We start from the raw sequence: 24189 nt of genomic DNA, 5'->3' as shown, positions 1-24189 counted from the left end.
TCAAGATGTACAATAAGTACAAAATACACCTTTGATTATGAAGATCAAGTACAAAAACAGAACATAAAATGTCTCAATATTTTTTATTAACTACATGTCTGGATATACTGCATAAAATAAAATGTATCATTGAAATATATATATATATACTTTTTTTACATTTTTAATGTGGCTACTAGAACATTTAAAATTACACATTCGACTCACATTATATTTCTATTGGACAACACTGAGCTAGATTCATAGTACATTTTAACACTGAATGACAGCATACAAAATATATGCAAATATGTCGAGATGTAGACATGGTGTAGAAGTCAATGCTCTTTTAAGTTTCCCTTGGAATCCGTTAATCATATTCATGCATTTGTCTCCAGCTTCTGTGAACTTCGCTTCTAATGACCTGTATCTGCAATGCTGTTCGCATAACTATCTATCTCTTGGCTAGGAGAGCCACCTTTTCCTGCATGCCTTAGAGCTCACACCCCTCCAGGGCAGATTGTAGCCAGTGGCTGACTTATCGATCAAGAATGCCCAGCTCCTGTGCTTTGAGTTTTGACAAACTGTGAGGTGCAAACTATACTCCAGAGTTCCCCACAGAATCAGCTAGAGATTCGACTTTGCCTGAAATCATACCTTATTAACTTCTTCCCCTTCCCCTTACTTTCTCCATTTTTTTTTTTTACCATTTTATCCTGGGAGTGCTACCTTAAACTATTTAGGTTGGTGCAGAAATAATTGCAATTTTTGCCACTAAAAGTGAAGGCAAAACTGCAGTTACTTTTGCACCAACCTAATACTTGCCCATGAATCTTTATCTCAGGCTTTGCTTCTGGAGAACTAAAAAAGGCACATGGTAATTTTCTTTAAGTGGCAACTTGGACAGATTTTTGTAGTAAGGCTATGATTCCTGATGAGCCATATTCTCTCCCATGCTGCAGAGTGTTTCCTTACAAGCACAGAGTCCACAGAAATCTACAACTGCAGAGTTTTAATCAATATCTCAGTTTGCAAACGAAGGAAAAATAATAAATGGATACGGCACTGAAGGACAGTGTGTAATTGTGAAAGTCTTTTCTTTGGTTACTGATAAAAGTAATTTTATTCCAGAGAAGACCAAATTGATCTGAAAAATCTCCTTCGGCTCCGAGGAGAGTATGTTTGGATTGTTCCTTAAAAGTCATGCGGAGACATGTACAAGGCATGAATGGGGTGCAATGGTACATCTTTGAGCAATTAGCTAAGTACCGTAGAACTTGCCAGGACTGTCTGTCAGATTAAATGTGGAACAATGCCCAGCTTCAACTCTGGCAAAAATAAAACAAAGCAAAAAAAAAAAAAAACAGCAAATGAAGTCAAAACAATGTAATAAACCATGCTAAACTAAGTACAATAAAAGTGGAAGGTATTGAAAAAGAATAAAGCTTTAGTAAAGAGCCTGAAGGGCAAAAAAAAAAAAAAAAAAAATACAACAAATATTAAAAGTCCATTTCTCGTCTCATGTTAAAGAAAAAATCATTTGACATGAAGTTACATTTTTTATCTGCACTTAAGGCTGGTCTGTGTTATCTTAATACAATAAGGGAGCCACATATTTATTCCTATTTGCTGTAAATGTATATTTTTCATGAGAAATATCTCTCTATTTCTGTTAATATGTCTTCTTTTTCCAATTTTGCCGTTGACTAATCTTCCATTTTGTAATTATGGTTACATCAGGGTATCACAGATGTTGGTTTAAAAAAATTAAGGAAAAAAATGAGACAAAATATCAGTGATTTCAGGATATGTTTGAAAAGTTGCCTTCTTCCATACACAAAGCTGACACATGAAAAGATAAGGGAAGGTTGAATTTGTTCTGGCTTACAGAAAGCCCAAGATATTGTAGTGGGAATTGAAGAAGTAGGCAAATATGTTTGCCTAAAAATGAAAATGCTTTTTTTAAATAACAGCAAATATTTGCCTTCAGTTGACAGCAAATCGATGTCACTCTTCTCTGAAGTAGTGTTGGTTGTATCGGAAATATCAGGACCTGTGATGCCACCTCTGTCCTTCCTCAGCTCAGCCGCAACATCCTACCAGAGTGTAGACTTGTATGGACTGGGTGAGAGGCTGTGGCTTGGTGCGAGTAGAGTAATAGAGTTCAAATACACTGATAATTGGGAAAAATAGACCGAGTGAAGGAACTGGGATAGCTTTCTAATGGAGAAAAAGTGGATTTTATTCATAAGGAAGTAGTAAATTGGTAAATGTGCTCAATATAGTTAGCAAGGCAATATCACAAATAAATTTATTTAGAAAAAGAGGGGAAAAGTGCACAAGGAAGCTTAATGTGTGTCCTCAAACCACCAGGAATAATTTTGCTGGGCTTACTTGCAATGACATCATTTTCTCTACTCTTTCCTTAGTTATTTGCCATGATGGCAAAACTCACTTTGATTATTCTTATATGTTAAACACCAATGATTTTGTTAGTGATACAATCTATGGTCAAGCAAAGAGTTGTAAATAGAATGAGAGACTAGAATAATAAAACCTGCTTTTATTACTACTGTTCAATAAGAAATACTTACCTGTTCAAGCTGCCCCAGTAGAAATAAAAATTATATCTAAGAATTTGGTTCTTAAAACGATTGGGTATTTAAATATTGATATTTAAAGTTGAGTTTCACTCAGTCTTGAGGATAGAATCAGCTGCTCTTTATTATTTTTAATCTCTTCTCTTAACCTTGTATACATATGCCCACCATAAGATTTCTGAATCCTTGCATATTGTGCTAAAATGTCATGGGTGTACAGTAGACACATAAAGTAATAGTGGTAATAGTGACTTCAACTACAGCCACAAATGAGCTGTTCAGTATAAGCAGTTTTTCCAGATACCTTAAGTTTAGTTTAAGTATCCAACCTTTTAATTGTAATAATCTTGCTTAGATGTCTTTCAAAAATATAGATTTTTTTTTCATTTATCCTTAGTCAAAAAGAATCAATGAAATTTCACTTTTACTTCATTATTCAGAATTTTCTTTATGTATCTTCATTAACATCCTAGGAGCCATCAAGGGATGAAGGGTTGTTTGCCTCTACAACAAAATACCCAGAAGTGCTATGCATTTTAGTTTTGTGGCTTTTGTGTGTGCATGTGTTTGCATGTGTACGTGTGTGTGTGTATGTGCACCTTATTCTATGTCTCCCTCCATTTATTAGCTGTTGTGAGTTATGAAATCAGATATTTGAAGGAAAAGATTATATTCTAGAGAAATACAAACATAGAAAAACATTAAAATTCTTGTTTCCCTACAGACTATCTCTTTGACTTTAAAAAATACTCTCTAAACCTTAGTTTCCTCATTATAAAATGGACATATAACTATAGTCATCTCATAGGGTTTGTAGGAGGACAAAATAAGAAATTATACATAAGTACCAATGAAGGGGTAGTGGCCATTACTATTCCTAATGTTGCTGTCGTTGTTGTTATTATTATAAATAGAGTGCTGGTCCTTTGAAAGAGGATCTAAGAAAAATGCAAAGAATAAAGTATTAGCACATCAAAGCATGCATGAACTAGGGACATTATGCTTGGTGGTTAGATTCACTTTCTTCTTGATGACTAGTTTTGGTCTATGTTTAAATTGATGGATGTTCCAGAAAGTGATCCCTGGATAAATGAGTTGTTTCAGTATTACATAAAGGATATTGAGCCCCTGATGCTACAAAACCACTCATGGCTCTTTGAACCGAAAAAAGAGGCACTATTTCAAATATGGAAGCTGCCTTGGTAAGAGACATTTTAATGCTTGAGTAGAAGACTATCTATGTGAAGTACCTTTGCGATTCTTTCATTCATTTAGTTAATGTATATTTATTATATTTACCTAGTGTTAGTTCTGTCCTGTTCTAGGTTCAGAGAACTATGAACCAAATAGGTGGAGTCTATTTTTATGAAGATTGCCTGTCCTTATGTTTTCTTATGGAGGTAGATATACTAGATAAGGGAGTGCAGGGATGATGGAGCAACATTTTCCATAAGACATGTACAACATCTTGAAGGTTTCAGATATTTCCTCACAGATCCAGGAGGAGCTGGGCACATGGCATGAACTTCAATACTTGCTCATTTGAAGGGAGCCTCATCAAGTGTCACAAACTCTGAGAAGGAATAAGAAATATATTAATTACTATGCTTGAAGCCGTGTAACTTCTGGTTTGTGCCACAAGTTTGGCAAATTGACCTTTTAGAGATACGAAATTCATTTTCCTCATCTATGGATTATAAACAATCATACTTACATTTAGATTAGAGATGTAAGAGATATTTCTCCTCTTCAACCAGAATGTGAGAATGTGAGGGCATGAATTCTTATTTACTGCTTTATTCCCATTGCACTGAATAGGACCTGATACCTAGAAAATTCTCAATACATTTTTTTTAATGAATGGATGATTTAAAAATATAAAGTCATTAGGTAAATTCCAAGTATTAATATTATTGATATTATCATCACTACACTTAAAGTATTATTGTTTACACATGAAATTAATCTTTAAAAGTTCTATATGAAATTGGCCACTTGAATAAATTTAATTCAACTGACTTACTCACTAACCACGTTTGAGTCTATATGGGTCAGATATCCTATTTTGATACAGATACAAAAGCAAACAGGAAATACAATGCCTCTGCCTGCATGATAGTTGTATTATAATACAGCTTACAAAATATTTCCATTATTTTTCCAATAGAAAGACATTCTCAGAGAAATCTCACAACTTACTGCATTGAATATTATGAGGTTGATCAATAAGCAAAGGGCACTTAGATTTCTCACTTTCCAGTTAATATTGAAACAGAAGGTATTAGAGGAAATGGAGACTTTCCTTTTTTTTTCTTTTGGCCATACATTTATATATATATATATTTTTTTCTTCCACTTTTAAGTTCAGTGTATGTGCGCAGGATGTGCAGGTTTGTTACATAGGTAAACATGTGCCATGGTGGTTTGCTGCACAGATCATCCCATCACCTAGGGATTAAGCTCAGCAGCCATTAGTTATTCTTCCTGGGGCTTGCCCTCCCCTCACCTACACCCCTCGAGAGGCCCCAGTGTGTGTTGTTCCCCTTGATGTGTCCATGTGTTCTCAAAGTTCAGCTCCCACTTGTAAGTGAGAACACATGGTGTTTGGCTTTCTGTTCCCGCATTAGTTTGCTGAGGATAATGGCTTCCAACTCCATTTGTGTCTCTGCAAATGACATAATCTCCTTCCTTTTTATAGCTGCATAGTATTCCATGGCGTATATGTACCACATTTTCTTTCTCCAGTCTATCATTGATGGGCATTTAGGTTGATTCCATGTCTTCGCTATTGTGAATAGTGCTGCCATGAACATAAACGTGCATGTATCTTTATAATAGAATGATTTATGTAATAAATATACATCTATATAATACATATCTATATAATGTATTATATAATGCATAATACATCTATATAATGTATTATATAATGCATAATACATCTATATAATAGAATTATTTATATTCCTCTGGGTAATGAGATTGCTCGGTCAAATGGTATTTCTGCCTCCTGTCTTTGAGGAATCACCACGATGTCTTCCACAATGGTTTAACTAATTTACACTCCACCAACAGTGTAAAAGCACTTCTTTTTCTCTGCAATCTTGCCAGCATCTGTTGTTTTTTAACTTTTTAATAATACCCATTCTAACTGGTGTGAGATGATATCTCATTGTGGTTTTGATTTCCATTTCTCTAATGATCAGTGATGTTGAGCTATTTTTCATATGTTAGCCACATGTATATCTTTGTATTTATTCATTTTTATATGTTATTGAGGAACAGGTGGTGTTTGGTGACATGAGTAAGTTCTTTGGTGGTGATTTGTGAGATTTTGGTGCACCCATCACCCAAGCAGTATGCACTGCACGCTATTTGTAGTCTTTTATCTCTCATCCCCTTCCCACCCTTTCCCTGAGTCCCCAAAGTCCATTGTATCATTCTTATGTTTTTGCATCCTCATAGCTTAGCTCCCACTTATGAATGTGAACATACAATGTTTGGTTTTCCATTCCTGAGTTACTTCACTTCAAATCATAGTCCCCAGTCTCCTCCAGGTTGCTGCGAATGCCAATAATTCATTCCTTTTTATGGCTGAGTAGTATTCCACTGTGTATATATACCACAGTTTCTTTATCCACTTATCAATTGATGGGCATTTGAGTTGGGTCCACATTTTTGCAATTGCAAATTGTGCTGCTATAAACATGTGTGTGCAAGTATCTTTTTTGTATAATGACTCTGGGTAGGTATCAGTAGTGGGATTGCTGGATCAAATGATAGCTCTTCTTTTAGTTCTTTAAGGAATTTCCACACTGTTGTTCATAGTGATTGTACTAGTTTACATTCCCACCAGCAGTGTAGAAGTGTTCCCTGTTCACCACATCCATGCCAACGTCTACTATTTTTTTGATTTTTTGATTATGGCCATTCTTGCAGGAGTAAAGTGGCAGTGTATTGTGGTTTTGATTTGTATTTCCCTGATCATTAGTCATGTTGAGCATTTTTTCATATTTGTTGGCCATTTGTATATCTTCGAGAATTGTCTATTCATGTCTTTAGCCCACTTTTTCATGGGATTGTTTGTTTCTTGTTGATTTGTTTGAGTTCATTGTAGATTCTGGATATTAGCCCTTTGTTAGATGTATAGATTGTGAGAATTTTTTCCCACTCTGGGTTGTCTGTTTACTCTGCTAACTGTTCCTTTTGCCGTGCAAAAGCTCTTTAGTTTAACTAAGTCCCAACAATTTATCTTTGTTATTATTGTATTTGTGTTTGGGTTCTTGGTCATGAAATCCTTCCCTAAACCAGTGTCTATAAGGGTTTTTCCTATGTTGTCTTCTAGAATTTTAATTTTCAGGTCTTATATTTAAGTCCTTAATCAATCTTGAATTGATTTTTGTATAAGGTGACAGATGAGGATCCAGTTTCATTTTCCTACATGTGGCTAGCCAATTATCCCAGCACCATTTGTTGAAAAGGGTGTCCTTTCCCCACTCTATGTTTTTGTTTGCTTTGTTGAAGATCAGTTAGTTGTAAGTATTTGGGTTCATTTCTGGGTTCTCTACTCTGTTCCATTAGTCTATGTGCCTATTCTTATACCAGTACCATGCTGTCTTGGTGACTATGGCCTTATAGTATAGTTTGAAATCAGGTAGTGGGATGCCTCCAGGTTTGTTCTTTTTGCTTAGTCTTGCTTTGCTTGCTTTGGCTATTTGGACTCTTTTTTGGTTCCATATGAATTTTAGAATTTTTTTTCTAATTGTGTGAAGAATGATGGTGGTATTTTGATGGGTATTGCTCTGAATTTGTAGATCGCTTTTGGTAGTAACGTTATTTTCACAATATTGATTCTACCCATCCATGAGCATGGGATGTGTTTCCATTTGTTTGTGTCATCTATGATTTATTTCAGCAATGTTTTGCAGTTTTCCTTGCAGAGGTCTTTCACTTCCTTGGTTAGGCATATTCCTAAGTTTTTTTCATGTTTTTTGTTTTTGTTTTTGTTTTGCAGCTATTTTAAAAGGGGTTGAGTTCTTGATCTAATTCTCAGCTTGATAACTGTTGGTGTATAGAAGAGCTACTGATTTGTGTACATTAATTTTGTATCTGGAAACTTTGCTGAATTCTTTTATCAGTTCTAGGAGCTTTCTGGAGGAGTCTTTAGGGTTTTCTAGGTAAACAATCATATCATCAGCAAACAGCAGCAGTTTGACTCCCTCTTTACCAATTTGGATGCCCTTTATTTCTTTCTCTTATCTAATTTCTCTGGCTAGGATGTCCAGTACTAAGTTGAAGAGGAGTGGTGAGAGTGGCCATCATTGACTTGTTCCAGTTCTCAGAGGGAATGCTTTCAACTTTTCCCCATTCAGCATTATATTGGCTGTGGGTTTGTCATAAATGGCTTTTATTATATTGAGGTATGTCCCTTGTATGTCGATTTTACTGAGAGTTTTAATCATAAAGGGATGCTGGATTTTGTCAAATGCTTTTTCTGCATCTATTGAGATCATCATGTGTTTTTGTTTTTATTTCTGTTTATGTGGTGTATCACATTTATTGACTTGCCTATGCTAAACCCTGCATCCTTGGAATGAAACCCATTTGATCATGGTGAATTTTCTTTTTGATATATTGTTGGATTCAGTTAACTAGTATTTTGTTGAGGATTTTAGCATCTATGTTCATCAGGGATATTGGTCTGTAGTTTTCTTTTTGGGCTAGATCCTGGTTTTGGTATTAGGGTGATACTGGCTTCATAGAATGATTTAGGGAAGGGTCTCTCTTTCTCCATCTTGGGAAATAGTGTCAATCGGATTGGTAGCAATTCTTCTTTGAATGTCTGGTAGAATTCTGCTGTGAATACGTCTGGGAATCTGTCTGGTCCTGAACTTGTTTCATTGGTAATTTTTACGTTACCATTTCAATCTTGCTGCTTGTTATTGGTCTGTTTAGGGTATCTAATTTTTCCTGAGTTATGCTAGGAGAGTTGTATCTTTCCAGGAGTTTATCCATTTCTTCTAGGTTTCTAATTTATGCATGTAAAGATGTTCATAGTAGCCTTAAATGATCTTTTTTATTTCTGTGGTGTTAGTTGTAATATCTCCTGTTTTATTTCTTATTGAACTTATTTGGATTTTCTCTCTTCTTGGTTAATCTTGCTAATGGTCTATCAGTTTCATTTATCTTTTCAAAGAACCAGATTTTTGTTTCATTTATCTTTTATATTTTTGTTGTTGTTTCAGTTTCATTTAGTTCTGCTCTGATATTGGTTATTTCCTTTCTTCTGCTGGGTTTGGGTTTGGTTTGTTCTTGTTTTGGTAGTTACTTGAGGTGTGAACTTAGATTGTCTGTTTGTGCTCTTTTAGACTTTTTGATGTAGGTATTTAGTGCTATGAACCTTCCTCTTAGCACTGCCTTTTGTGTCTCAGAGGTTTTGATAGGTTGTGTCACTATTGTCATTCAGTTCAAAGAATTTTTTAATTTTCATTTTGGTTTAATTTTTGACCCAATGATCATTCAGAAGCAGGTTATTTAATATCCATGTATTTGCATGGCTTTGAAGTTTCCTTTTGGAGTTGATTTCCAGTTTTATTCCATTGTGGTCTGAGAGAGTGCTTGATATAATTTCAATTTTCTTAAATTTATTGAAGCTCATTTTGTGGTCTATCATATGGTCTTTCTTGAAGAAAGTTCCATGTGCTGTTTAATACAATGTATATTCTGCAGTTGTTGGATGGAATGTTCTGTATATATCTGTTAAGTCCATTCGTTCTAGGGTATAGATTAAATCCATTGTTTCTTTGTTGAATTTCTGTCTTGATGACCTGTCTAGTGATGTCAGTGGTGTATTAAAAAGTCCCCCACTATTATTGTGTTGCTGTCTATCTCATTTCTTAGGTCTATTAGTAATTGTTTTATAAATTTGGGAGCTCCAGTGTTAGGTGCATATACATTCAGGATTGAGATATTTTCCTGTTGGACAAGGCCTTTTATCATTATATAATGTCCTTCTTTGTCTTTTTCAACTACTGCTGCTTTAAAGTTTGTTTTTTCTTACATAACTATAGCTACTCCTGCTCACTTTTGCTGTCCGTTTGCATGATGTCTCTTTTTTCACCCCTTTCACTTAAGTTTGTGTGAGTCCTTACGTGTTAAATGAGTATCTTGAGGGCAGCAGATAGTTCATTGGTGAATTCTTATTCATTCTGCAATTCTGTATCTTTAAGTAGAACATTTAGGTAATTTACCTTCAATGTTAATATTGAAATGTGAGGTACCATTCCATTCATCATGCTATTTGTTGCCTGTGTACCTTGGTTTTTTTGACTTCATTTTTTAAATGGTATTTTTATTTTATAGGTCCTGTGAGATTTATGCTTTAAAGTGGTTTTGTTTTGATGTTGTTTCCAGGATTTGTTTCAAAATTTAGAGCACTTTTTGAAAAGCAGTTCTTGTAGTGGTGGCATGGTAGTGGTAAATTCTCTCAGCATTTGTTTGCCTGAAAAAGACTGTATCTTTCCTTCATATATGAAGCCTAGTTTCAATGGATACAGAATTCTTGGCTGATAGTTGTTTTGTTTGAGGAAGCTGAAAATAGGGCCCCAATCCCTTCTAGCTTGTACGGTTTCTGCTGAGAAATCTGCTGTTAATCTGATAGGTTTCTTTATTTTAATAGGTTACCTGGTACTTTTGTCTCACAGCTCTTAAGATTCTTTCTTCCGTCTTAACTTATATAACCCGATGACAATGTGCCTAGGCGATGATCTTTTTGTGATGAATTTCCCAGGTGTTCCTTGAGCTTCTTGTATTTGGATGTCTAGGTCTCTAGCAAGGCCAGGGAAGTTTTCTTCAATTATTCCCCCAAATATATTTTCCAAACTTTTAGATATCTCTTCTTCCTCTGGAGCACCAATTATTCTTAAGTTTGGTCATTTAATATAATCTCAGACTTCTTGGAGGCTTTATTCATATTTTCTTACTCTTTTTTCTTTGTCTTCGTTGGATTGGGTTAATTCAAAGACGTCTCTGATTAGCTTAATAACTAACATCCTGAATTCTTTTTCAGGTAAATCAGGGAGTTCTTCTTGGTTTAGGTCCATTGCTGGTGAGCTAGTGTGATTTTTGGGGGGTGTTAAATAACCTTGTTTTGTCATATTACCAGAGTTGGTTTTCTGGTTCCTTCTCATTTGGGTAGACTCTGTCAGAGGGAAGGTGTAGGGCTGAAGGCTGTTGTTCAGATTCTTTTTGTCCCATTCAGATTCTTTTGTCCCACAGTGTGTTCCCTTGAGGTAGTACTCTCCCCCTTTTCCTATGGATGTGGCTTCCTGAGAGAATAGCTGTAGTGATTGTTATCTTTCTTCTGGATCTAGCCACCCAGCAAGTCTACCAGGCTCTGGGCCAGTACTGGGGATTTTCTGCAGAGTCCTGTGATGTGAAACATCTGTAGGTCTGTCAGCCGTGAATACCAGCAGAGTATTTGGCATGTCTCCTGGGTCCTGCAGGAGCAATCCGCTTCCTTCAGGGGTCTGTGGGTCCTTTCAGGTTTCCTGATTTATTCCTGCAGTTGTTCTGGAGCAGAAATTCATAATGCAAGCCTCCACATGCTGCTCTGTCTGAGTTAGAGCTGCAGTCTAGTCCTGCCTCCCATCTGCCATGATTCCCTAGGAGTTGAAAACACATGTCTTCTTTTGAGAAGTGTCTGTTCATGTGCTTTGCTCACGTTTTAATGGGGTTGTATGTTTTTTTCTGGTAAATTTGCTTAAGTTCCTTATAGACTCTGGATATTAGGCCTTTGTCACATGGATAGATTGCAAAAATTTTCTCCTATTTTGTAGGTTGTCTGTTCACTCTGATGAGAGTTGCATTTGCTGTGCAGAAGCTCTTTAGTTTAATTAGATTCCATATGTCAATTTTTGCTTCTGTTGCAATTGCTTTTGTGCTTTTGTCATGAAATCTTTGCCCATGCCTATTTCCTAAATGGTATTGCCTGGATTTTCTTTCAGGGTTTTTATAATTTTGGGTTTTACATTTCAGTAAGTCTTTAAACCATCTTGAGTTAATGTTTGTATATCGTGTAAGGAAGAGGTCCAGTTTTAATTTTCTGCATATGGCTGCCAGTTCTTCCACCACCATTTATTAAATAGGGAATCCTTTCCCCATTGCTGGATTTGTCGGGTTTGTCAAAGATCAGATGGTTGTAGGTCTTATTTCTGAGTTCTCTACTCTGTTCCACTGGTCTATGTGTCTGTTCTTTTACCAGTACCATGCTGTTTTGGTTACTGTTTGGTTTGTAGCATAGTTTGAAGCCAGGTAGTGTGATGCCTCCAGCTTTGCTCTTTTTGCTTAGGATCATCTTGGCTATATGGGCTCTTTTTTGGTTTCATATGAATTTTTAAATTTTTTTTTCTAATTAATTCTGTAAAGAATGTCAATGGTAGTTGAATGGGAATAGCATTGAATCTATAAATTACTTTGGGCAATATGGCCATTTTCACAATATTGAGTCTTATCCATGAGCATGGAATGTTTTTCTGTTTATTTATGTCCTCTCTGATTTCTTCAAGCAGTGGTTTGTAGTTCTCCTTAAAGAAGTCCTGCACATCCCTTGTTAGCTGTATTCCTCAGTATTTTATCCTTTTTGTAGCAATTGTGAATGAGAATTCATTCATGATTTGACTCTCTGCTTGCCTGTTTTTAGTGCATAGGAATGCTAGCAATTTTTGCATGTTTATTTTGTATCCTGAGACTTTGCTGAAGTTGCTTATTAGCTTAAGAAGCTTTTGGGTGGAGATAATGGAGTTTTCTAGATATAGGATCATGATATCCACAAAAATAATTTGATTTCCTCTCTTCTTATTTAAATACCCTTTATTTCTTTCTCTTGCCTGATTGCCCTGGCCAGAACATCCAATACTGTGTTGAATAGGAGTGGTAAGAGAGGACACCCTTTTCTGGTGCTAGTTTTCAAGGGGAATGCTTTCAGCTTTTGCCTATTCAGTGTGATATTGGCTGTGGGTTGGTTATATATGGCTTTTATTATTTTAAGGTATGTTCCTTCAGTTCCTAGTTTATTGAGAGTTTTTAACATGACAGGATGTTGAATTTTATTGAAGGCCTTGTCTGCATCTAATGAGACAATCATGTGATTTTTGTCTTTAGTTCTGTTTATGTGATCAATGACATTCAGTGTAAATTGTACCAGCTCTTGTTTGTACCTCTGGTAGAATTCAGCTGTAAATTCTTCTGGTCCTGGGCTTTTTTTGATTGGTAGGCTATCTATTACTGCCTCAATATCAGAACTTATTATTGGTCTCTTCAGGGATTCAATTTTTTTCCTGGTTCAGTCTTGGGTGGGTGCATATGTCCAGGAATTTATTCATTTTATCTAGATTTTCTAGTTTATGTGCATAGAGGAGTTTATAGTATTCTGTGATGGTTGTTTATATTTCTGTGGGGTCAGTGGTGATATCCTCATCATTTCTGACTTGTTTCTTTGATTCTTCTTTCTTCTTTATTAGTCTAACTAGTGGTATATCTATTTTATTATTTTTTTCAAAAAACAGGCTCCTGGATTTGTTGATTTTTGAATTTTGGGGGGTTTCTATCTCCTTCAGTTCACCTCTAATCTTGGTTATTTATTGTCTTTTGCAATGTTTTGGATTTGTTTGCTCTTGGTCCTCTTGTTCTTTTAGTTGTGATGTTAGGTTGTTAACTTGAGACTTTTCTAGTTTTTTAATGTGGGCATTTAGTGCTATAAATTTCCCTCTTAGAATTGCTTTAGCTGCATCCCACAGATTCTGGTACATTGGCTCTTTGTTTTTATTAGTTTCAAAGAACTTCTTGATTTCTGCCTTAAGTTGATTGTTTACCCAAGAATCATTCCGGAGCAGGTTGTTCAATTTCCATGTAGTTATATAGTTTTAAGTGAATTTCTTAATCTTGCATTCTAATTTGATTGCACTGTGGTCTAACAGACTGTTTGTTATAACTTCAGTTATAACATTGCTTTTGCTGAGGAGTGTTTTACTTCCAATTATTTATAAATTTTAGAGGAAGTGCTGTGTAGTGATGAGAAGAATATATATTCTGTTGTTTTGGGTGGAGAGTTCTATAGATATCTGTCAGGTCCACTTGATCCAGAGCCGAGTTCAGGTTCTGAGTATCTTTGCTAATTTTCTTCCTTGATGATATGTCTAATAACGTCCATGGAGTGTTGAAGTCACCCACTATTTTTGTGTGTTAGTCTAAGTCTTTTTGTAGGTCTCTAAAAACTTGCTTTATGAACTTGGGTGCTCATGTATTGAGTGCATATATATTTAGGATAGCTAGTTCTTGTTGAATTGAACCCTTTACCATTATGTAATGCCCTTCTTTGTCTTTTTTTTTATCTTTGTTGGTTTAAAGTCTCTTTTGTCAGAAACAAGGATTGCAATCCCTGCTTTTCTCTGTTTTCCATTTGGTAAATTTTCCTCCATTCCTTTATTTTGAGACTATGTGTTTCTTTGCATGTGAGATGAATATCTTGAAGACAACATACCAATGGGTCTTCTTCACTCATTATCCAGCTTGAGATTCTGTGCCTTTTCATTGGGGCATTTTGCCTATTAACATTTAAGCTTTGTATTGTTATATGTGAGTTTGATCCTGTCATCATGAGGCTAGCTAGTTATTTTGCAGACTTGTTTATGTGGTTGGTTGCTTCATAGTGTCACTGTTCTGTGTACTTCAGTGTGCTTTTGTAAAAAAATACTTTTGGTAACAGTTTTTCCTTTCCATATTTAGTGCTTCCTTCAGGAGCTCTTGCAAGGCAGGTCTGGTGGTAATGAATTCCTCCAGCATTTGCTTGTCCAAAGAAGATCTTATATCTCCTTTTCTTATGAAGCTTAGTTTGGCCAGACATAAATTTCTGGGTTGGAAATTTTTTTTAAGAATGTTGAATATTGGCCCCCAATATCTTCTGGCTTGTAGGATTTCTTCTGAGATGTCCATTGTTAGTCTGATGGGCTTCCCTTTGTAGGTGACCTGGCCTTTCTCTGGATGCATTTAATAATTTTTCTTTCATTTTGACCTTAGAGAATCCGATGATTATGTTTCTTGGGGTTGATCTTCTGGGGGAGCATCTTAATGGGATTCTCTGCAGGTCCAGAATTTGAATGTTGGCCTGTCTTACTAGGTTGAAGAAGTTCTGAACGATATCCTGAAGTATGTTTTCCAACTTGGTTCCATTCTCATCTCTTTCAGGTACCCCAATCCATTGTAGGCACAGTGTCTTTACATGATCCCATATTTCTTGGAGGTTTTGTTCATTCCTTTTCATTATTTTTCTCTATTCTTATCTGCCTATTTTAGAAAGATATTCTTCAAGCTCTGAGATTCTGCTATTGATACTTGTGATTGCATTGTAAATTTCTCGTGTTATGTTTCTCAGCTCCTTTAGGTTGGTTATGTTCATCTCGAAACTGGCTGTCCTGGCTATCAGCTTTTGTATTGTTTTATGATGATTATAGCTTCTCTGCATTGGGTTACAACATGCTCCTTTAGCTCAGCAAAGTTTATTATTATCCACCTTCTGAAGCCTACTTCTGTCAATTTAGCCATCTCAGCCTCAGCCCTGTTCTGTGCCCTTCCTGGAGAGATGCTGCAATAATTTGGAGGATATAAGGCACTCTGGCTTTTTGGGTTTTCAGGGTTTTTGTGTTGATTCTTTCTCATCTTTGTGGGGTTAACTACCTTCCATCTTTGAGGCTGCTGACCCTGGAAAGGAGTTTTTGTGGGATCTTTTTGCTGATGTTGTTTTTGTTGTTTTCTGTTTGTCTGTTTTACTTTTAACAGTCAAGCTATTCTTCTGTAGGACTGCTGCCATTTTCTAGGGGTCCACTATGGACCCTAGTTGCCTTGGTTTTTCATGTACCTTGAAGTATTATCAATCAGTGAAGGCTGCAAAACAGCAAAGATTGCAGCCTGCTTCTTCCTTGAGAAGCTCAGTCCCAGGGAAGTACGGACATGTTGCCAGCCCAAATTGTATCTAAAGGAGGTAGCTGGAGACCTCTGTTGAGAAGTCTCATCCAATCTGGAAGAATGGTATCAGGGACCTGCTCCAAGAAGCAGTCTGGTTTTTTTTGGTAGCAGAATTGTGCTGTGTTGTGGGGGACCCTTCCTCATCTGGACTGTCCAGACTCTCCAGAGTTGGCAGGCTGGAAAAGCTGAGTCAACCAGAACACAGAATGGCAGCCACCCCTCTGTCCAGGAACTTTGTCCTTCTCAGGCAGACTCCAGCCTGTTGCCACTGGCTGGCTGGAATTCCAAGCCAGTGTGTCTTAACTTGTGAGGTATTGTGGAAGTGGGGCCTGCAGAATGATGCTGCTCAGCTCCCTGGATTTAGCTCCCCTCTTAGGGGATGTAGGGACAGATCTCTTACCTTGTCAGAAATCCTGGGGCCACAGTATGCAAAACTCCTGGGTCTCTGTGTGTGCCCCAGTGGCTGCTCTGCAGGGACTTCACACAGCTCTCTGTATCAGACCCAAGGCCTTGGTGGTATGGGCTTAGAAGGGGATCCCTGATCTGCTGGTTGCAAAGATCTGTGGGAGAAGCATGATTTCCCAGGTGGAATCACACAATCACTCACCACTTCCCTTGGCTGGGGGTGGTGGTTCCTTTGGCTCTATGCCACTCCTAGGTGGGCCATCACCCCATCCTGCTTTTCTTCATTCTCTGTGGGTCGAGATGTTTGCCTAGTCAATCCCAATGTGAGAATCTGGATATTTCAGTTGAAGGTGCTGAATTCACTTGCCATTTTCTTTTCTCTCCATGAGTGTTGCAAACTGTAGCTGCTTTTAATTGGCCATCTTGGCCCAGTCCTAGACTTTCTTTTATAATGTCCTCAGTTTATAGATGAGATAATAAAGGCCAGAGAGATAAGTATTTTGTTGAGACTTCCTTTGTTGGGAACATCTTTGCACCTCTTCTCAGCCTAGCAAGCACCCACTCATTCTTCAAGGCACAGCTCAAATGTCCCTTTGTCTGAGAGACCATCTCTAACTCCTCCAGGCTGAGTCCATTGCTAAGCCTGCACTTAATTCTTGTCTCTATTATAGCAGTCAGAACAATGATCTGAAATATGGCTGAACATAAATCACCTGGGACAGTTATTAAAAATCCCAATTCCTGGGCCTTATATCAGTCCTAGTGGATCAGTGGGTCAGATTCTCCTTAAGGGTTACTTGAGAGTTTGCGTTTTAAACAAGAATTGGAGGGGACTGTCATGATGACGTGATATGGAAAGCATTAAATTAAACTAGCATTCAGCTAGGATGGTTCTGGCTGCAAGTAAGTAAAAATTTATTTCAGACTTGGTTAAGCAATAAAGTCATTTATTAGCTCAGATAACATCAAGTCCACAGGCAGAGCAAGAAGTCTTCAGATTGCTTAAAACAGCTGCTTATGTGTATCACCTAGGACACAGTAAACTTCCCACGCTCTACTCTGCAGTTGGCAAATTTAACATCATTCTAAGGTAGTATACCTTAAAGGCATTAGATGACCTCTTTAGCCCATGAGGGCATTTTTCCCATAAGTGTCTAAAAATTACTCCTAATGTTTTAGTTTTCAAGTTAGCTTAGACTTAAAGCTCTATCCCTGAATTCATCAATAGCAGGGGTGTGGGGTGGGGGAATGAAGGATGAAATTACTATAATTGGCTAAGAATAATCAACTATGGGAAATAAGCCATAAAATGCTTTAGGAGATAAATAGATTTATTTATGCACATCTGTTTCCCTCCACTAAACCATTTTCAACTGAAGTCAAGAATCATGTTGTATATATAACTCCTAGCACAGAAGGCACTCAGTGTTTACTGAATGAATGTTGCAATGAATCACATAGCTTGGAAGGGTGAACTGGTTTGACTTCCATATCATTGCCCTTACCTATACACATAGTATATTCGGTCAGGGTTTTCCAGAGAAGGAGCCAATAGGACAGATAGAAAAATAGGTAGATAGATAGACAGACTAGATAGATAGATAGATAGACAGACAGACAGGCAGAAAGATAAGGGATTTATTAGGGGAATTGGCTTCCATGATTATGGAGGCTGATAAGTATTATCACAGGCTGGAGAACCAGAGAAGCCAGTAGCAGGGCTTAGAATAAGTCCAAAGGCCTGAGAACTAAAGAAGCTGGTGGTGTAATTCTCAATCCAAGACCAAAGACTTGAGAGGCCTGGGAGGCTAAAGGTGCAGGTTTCAGAGTTCAAAGCTTGAAGAACCTGGATTTCTGATGTCCAAGGGCAGGAGAAGAAGAGTGTCCCTTTCCTGAAGAAAGAGAGAATTGATGCTTTTCCACCTGTTTGTTCCATCAGGGCCCCAAGCTGATTGAATCATGTCCATTCACATTGAGCGCAATCTTCACCACTCAGTCCACCAACTCACATAAAAATCTTCTCTTAAAACACCCTTAGAGAGACGCCGAGAAACAATGCTTCACCAGCCATCTAGGCAGCCCTCTATTCAGTGAAGTCGACACCTAACATTAATCATCAAGCATGGCTACAGAAAGGAGTTTCTTTAAGCAATCTTCTAATGGAGGGCAAGTAGGGAGATAGACATAGTATTCAGAGCAGGCCTCCTTGTTCAGGTATTCCCCCACTGAGCCTGGCAGTACAAGTGATAAAAGAACTTCTCCATTTAAAATGTTCAGGAATAAAATGCATTGAAATATCCGGGTACTCTTCTGTACCTCTTCCTTCTGATTCTGCCTTTGTAATGGACTTTATAAGCACATATCCGTTAATCTGAACACTTCTTAAGAGGTAATCATAATAACTCGCCTAGATCTAATGTTGTAGAGAAACATTTTATGGCCCTAGGATACATTTTCATCCAAGTTATTAAAGCCCAATTACATCATGTTTTCTTCTAAGGAATGCCAAGTACTTGAGGGACAATATTGCAGTCACTCTCACTTGTGTCTTGGAAATAATTACACAGATATAGCAGATAAAGTCCTCTGCCCTTCCTCTCAACGAAATGCAAAATTGTACTTACTTGCCTAAGATCACGCAATAGAATTAAGAGAGGGAAAATTGAAATAAGAATGCAATTTTTCTCTTTCTTTTGCGTTAGCTAATACACACAGCCTTCTTTGTGAAAACATTAGACATATATATTGTGATGATGAAGAAACTATCATGTTGGGTGGTCAAGGGAGGAAATAAAACTTAAGACTTTCTAAATAACATTTCTGGGCTATATCATGATTCATATCACAACTGTCAGCCTTAAACCAAGCAATGTGTTGGAATTAATACAAGAAATAATAAGTGTCTATCATTTATTATTATTGATTATAGTTTAGGTACATTAAAGGTATTTTTTGATAATTCATATTAACCCTATAAGTTGGACTCTATTTTGCTTTTTAGAGATCTGACACTCAGAGATCACTAAGATGTAGAAGGATGTACAGCTAGGAAAGGGTAGCTCCTGGAATCAAATCAAGTGTGTCTATGTTCAAAGCCCATGACCTCCCTGCTACCCCATGCTGCTCTGGAATAGTTGAGCTGGGAATTCAGCATAACTAACTCCATTTTGTTAAATTTAAACAAGTCACTAATGTCTCATTGAGTGAACTTCTTTAAATGAGGACAATATTCTCCCCTCCAAATTCTTCAGTCGGGTAACCTCATGTAAGTCTTCTAGAAGACAGCATGCCTAAAATGAGAGGCAAGGCCTCGTAACCAACTGGACCCAGATCAAGTGTCTAATAATTGTCACAAGATCACCTGCATGGGTCTTGGAACCCTTCCTACTTATTTATTCAACCAAAATAAATCTTTAGGAGTCTTGTAAAAAAAAAAAAACTATTCAAAAACAAAAGAAAAAATAGATTATTATTTTGCTCTAATGAGGTTAGGTATTTTAAACATTGTTAAGAATGTTTGGGCCACCTCTAAACAGCAGCAATTTCAGCTTTAGTTGCTGAAAATCAACCAGGACCCCAGTGAGCACACAGCTTTAAAGCTCCTTAAAGCCCCAGACTTGGGATGCACTCAATGCCAATGGAAAATTCACTGAAAAATAACAAAGAGACCAGGGCTGGCTTTGTTTCATCCAGCCTTCCTGTCTTGCCAGACCTTTCAGATAACAGAGCAGGCATATTTAAATTTGAAAGTTTTTTATGATTATTTAATAAAATGAGGATGAAGTAAGCAAATAACTGTTGAGAAGAAGTAACATTTAATTTCCAAGAGTGCCCTGAGAGACATATCATGGAGTGAAGCCACCGCAATTACTTGGGAATTCATTGTCAGAAATGTTAAACTAATTCAGGCTACAAGAAAATACTTAACAGTATTATGAAGTGTAGATATCAGTAGCCGTGGTCAGAAAATAAGCATTGTTGCAACCGCATCCAGGACAAGGTTGAAGATTTGAAATTCCAAGTCAAAGACAAAATATTCAGCCAATTATCTCTCAACTCAGAAACTTAGAGCATCAAAGTGCAGAGCTGGAAAGAATTTTTTGAGATGCCCTCAAGGGCAATCATCTCCCTCTAGGTAAGGATATATCTCAGCCATACAGAACTGATGGATTTCGAGGGGTATTTAATTTCAGGTTTCACTTTTTATTTAGCTTCTAGCTCCCTATCTAGTCTGCTGTACTGCTCCAAATGCCAAAAAATAATTTTTTTCGTATTGACTACACTGGACATATTTAGGGTGAGATTTAAAAGTGGCTCCTCCTCCATTTAACACCAATACTATAATAGAGGAAAGGGCAGGATACAGCCCAGAACACACTCAGTATTCCTTTCCTTACCACTCAATTCCCCATCATTCTGTTTCCATCAGTGGTACATAAGTTCCTCTTACCAGGTGACTGTGAACAATTTCCTTCTAGTAAAATGATTATGTCTTAACATTGTATCTTCACCCTTTTCCCCACTGAACCATATATTCGAACCATATATTCAGTAATTGAGGTTAAATACATTTCCTTAAACATTTACAAGTATAATCCTTTGTATTTTACCCTCCAATGTAGGAAAGTACCCCCCCAAAAATATGGAAATGAGAAAAATCAAGGAATTAGCTTTATGTTACTACATTCTTGTTGGATTTTTTTTTTAACCTAGCTTGGGCTGAATAATGAGCAGATATGCAAGCGTGTGTGTGTGTGTGTGTGTGTGTGTGTGTGTGTGTATAAATTTGTATATACAAAGAAAAGTACTAGAAGAAACTAACATGAAGGGTCACCTTGATTTAGCAGAGCATACCTGAGCCTATTCTCCTTCTCAGCATTTATATTTCTAAATAGTTATCTCTATTAAAAATTGGACATAGTAGCCTCTGTTGGGCCTTTTATAAACCTCAACAGAAGAAAATTAAATTGGCTATTTTTTTTTCTTAGGTTTCATGGTGAGATAGCTCTATGGAAAGTAAACGGAATATGTACCAGCTTGTTCTCATCTTCAAAACTTTGATGACTCTTTATAGATTTTCTGCAAAGTAATTAAAGTCCAATTAATTAGAAAAATATACACAATGGGCATTCTGAATATAATATCTCCAATGGGTGCAACTTTTATTATCTTAAACAAGTGGCTAAGCCAATGTTGCAAGTTTAAATTTTGAGCTCCTAAGCAAATATCTCAGAAAATACACTCTTGCACTTTGTTGACTACAAAATAAACTCCTCTCCAGTGGAGAGCTATCTCACCTCCTTTGGGAATCCATTACAGTGCAGTCAGTTTGGGTAGCATGCTGGTAGATCCCTTTTTCCTATAATGACTGTACCCACAAACATACTGAAAATGCAATATTTTTAAATGGACAGTAGAAGCTGACCACTGAAAGGAATACAAGGGGAATATTTTGGTGACATACAGAATTACCAAGTAATTTATCTCTTATTTAAATCTGGACATTCACTTCCTAAGTATACATAAATTTAGCTGTTGTTACATAATATTCCCCCTTTTCCCCCATTTATGTTCTACTTGTAAATAATGCTGGCTTCTATTACAATTTCATGTTCTCAATGGATCAACACAGTGAAGGTTTCTTTTCTATTCACTCCCTAGTTCAAATTTAGATAGTGTGGGAGTGGGCCTCTTCTCCATGCAACCATTCAGGTACTCAGGCTCCTCCCATGTGGTAGTCTCCTTCAATACACAGTTAGGGGTTGTCCTGACATCATCTAGCTGGCAGATGGGAAGAAGGGAGTGCAAAGACAAGGCAGGTTCTTATGTAACTTCTGTCACTGAACTGCAAGTGACAAATCACTTTCATTCACTATCTATGGCAAGAACTGCTGACATGGTCTCACTCATATATGAGAGAAGTTCACAAAATTTAGTTTATCTGCACTTAACAAGAAGAGAAAAATGGGTTTGGTGAGCATTTAGCCAGACTCTGCTACATTTTCTAGGCTTTGTCTCTGTTTGATCTTTTCATCTTTAGATAGATGTATTAGTCAGGATTTTCCAGAGATGGAATCAATATGATGGGTGGATAGATAGATGAACAGATAGATAGGTAGGTGGGTAGGTAAGTATGTAGGCAGACAGATAGATGACAGATAGGAGATTTATTAGGGGATTTGCTCTTGTCATTATGAAGGTTGAGGAGTCCCATGATAGGCTATTTTCAAGCTAGAGAACCAGGGCAGCTGTAGCATAGCTTAGTCCAAGTCTAAATGCCTCAGAACCAGAGAAGGTAATGGTGTAATTCTCAGTCTGAGGCTGAAGGCCTGAGAATCCAGGATGGGGAGCAGGGGAATGGCGCAAGTTGTGAAGTTCAAAGGCCAGAGAACCTGTAGTTGTGTGGTCCAAGGGCAGGAGAAGAAGAGTGTCCCAGCTCCAGCAGAAAGAGTGAATTCACCTTTCCTTTGCCTTTTTTTCTACATCAGCCCTTAGCTGATTGGATGCACTCATCCATGTTGGGTGGTGTATTAGTCCATTTTCACCCTGCTGATAAAGACATACCTGAGGCTGGGCCATTCACAAAAGAGAGAGGTTTAACGGATTTACAGTTCCACATGGCTGGGGTGGCCTGACAATTATGGCAGAAGGCAAGGAGGAGCAAGTCAATCTTACATGGAGGGCGGCAGGTGAAGAGAGTTTGTGCAGGGAAACTCCTTATAAAACCATCAGGTCTCATGAGACTTATTCACTATCATGAGACCAGCATGGTAAATACCTGCCCCCATGATTCAATTGTCTCCCACTGGGTTCCTCTCACAACACATAGGAATTCATGATGAGATTTGGGTGGTGAGACAGCCAAACCATATCATTCCACCCCTGGCCCCTCCCAAATCTCATGTCCTCACATTTCAAAACTAATCATGCCTTCCCAACAGTCCCCCAAAATCTTAACTCATTTCAGCATTAACTCAATAGTCCACAGTCCCAAGTCTTATCCAAGACAAGGCAAGTCCCTTCTGCATATGAGCATGTAAAATCAAAAGCAAGTTAGTTACTTCCTTGATAAAATAGGGGTGTAGGCATTGGGTAAATACGGCCATTTCAAATGAGAGAAATTGGCCAAAATGAAGGGGCTACAGGCCCCATGCAAGTCCAAAATCCAGTGGGGCAGTCAAATCTTAAAGCTCCAAAATGATCTCCTTTGACGCCATGTCTTATATCTAGGTCACTCTGATGCAAGTGGGCTCCCATGGCCTTGGGGAGCTCTGCCCCTGTGGCTTCACAGGGTAGAGCCTCCCTCCCAGCTGCTTTTGTGGGCTGGCATTGAGTGTCTGTGGCTTTTCCAGGTGCATAGTGCAAGCTGTCAGTGGATTTATCGTTCTGGGGGCTGGAGGCCAGTGGGCCTCTTCTCACAGTTCCACTGGGCAGTGCCCCAGTGGGGACTCTGTGTGGGGGCTCCAATCCAACATTTCTCTTCCACACTGCCCTAGCAGAGGTTCTCCATGAGGCCCTGCTCCTGCAGCAAACTTCTGCCTGGGCATCCAGGCATTTCTGTACATTATTTGAAATCTAGGCAGAGGATCCCAAACCTCAATTCTTGACTTCTGTGTACTCACAGGCTCAACACCATGTGAAAGCTGCCAAGGCTTGGGGCTTTCACCCTCTGAAGAAATAGCCCGAGCTGTACATTGGCCCCTTTTAGTCATGGCTGGAGTAGGTGCAATGCAGGGCACCAAGTCCCAAGACTGCACATAGCATAGGGACCCTGTACTGAGCCCATGAAACCATTTTTTCCTCCTAAACTACCTCTGCACCTGTGATGGGAGGGGCTGCTGCAGAGGTCTCTGATATGCCCTGGAGACATTTTCCCCCATTGTCTTGGTGATTAATATTCAGCTCCTTGTTACTTATGCAAATTTCTATAGCCAGCTTGAATTTTTCCTCAGAAAATAGGATTTTATTTTCTATCGCATTGTCAGGCTGCAAATTTTCCAAACTTTTATGCTCTGTTTCCCTTTTAAAACTGAATGCTTTTAACAGCACCCAAGTAATCTCTTGAATGCTTTGCTACTTAGAAATTTCTTCTGCCAGATACCCTAAATCATCTCTCTGAAGTTCAGTGTTCCACAAATCTCTAGGGCAGGGGCAAAGTGCCATCAATCTCTTAGCTAAAACATAA

The 24189-nt window shown here is 37.7% G+C and overlaps 1 protein-coding gene across 2 annotated transcripts in view; it reads right to left on the bottom strand.

The window, feature by feature from the left end:
- AGBL1 (AGBL carboxypeptidase 1) overlaps positions 1501-24189 on the bottom strand; it is a 951857-nt gene continuing 929168 nt past the window's right edge. Inside the window, exon 23 of one of the 2 annotated variants that reach the window (XM_011521227.4) lies at positions 1501-4152. In XM_011521227.4, coding sequence (XP_011519529.1) covers positions 4137-4152 — 16 coding nt within the window. In that variant the 3' untranslated portion in view covers positions 1501-4136. The remainder of the gene's footprint in view (positions 4153-24189) is intronic. The other variant, NM_152336.4, reaches the window with a different exon arrangement.

This window comes from Homo sapiens, chromosome 15 (assembly GCF_000001405.40).
Source record: "Homo sapiens chromosome 15, GRCh38.p14 Primary Assembly".
NCBI classification, from domain to species: Eukaryota; Metazoa; Chordata; class Mammalia; order Primates; family Hominidae; genus Homo; species Homo sapiens.
The sequence above is the reverse complement of the archived record's forward strand: the minus strand, read 5'-3'. Positions and strand labels throughout refer to the sequence as shown.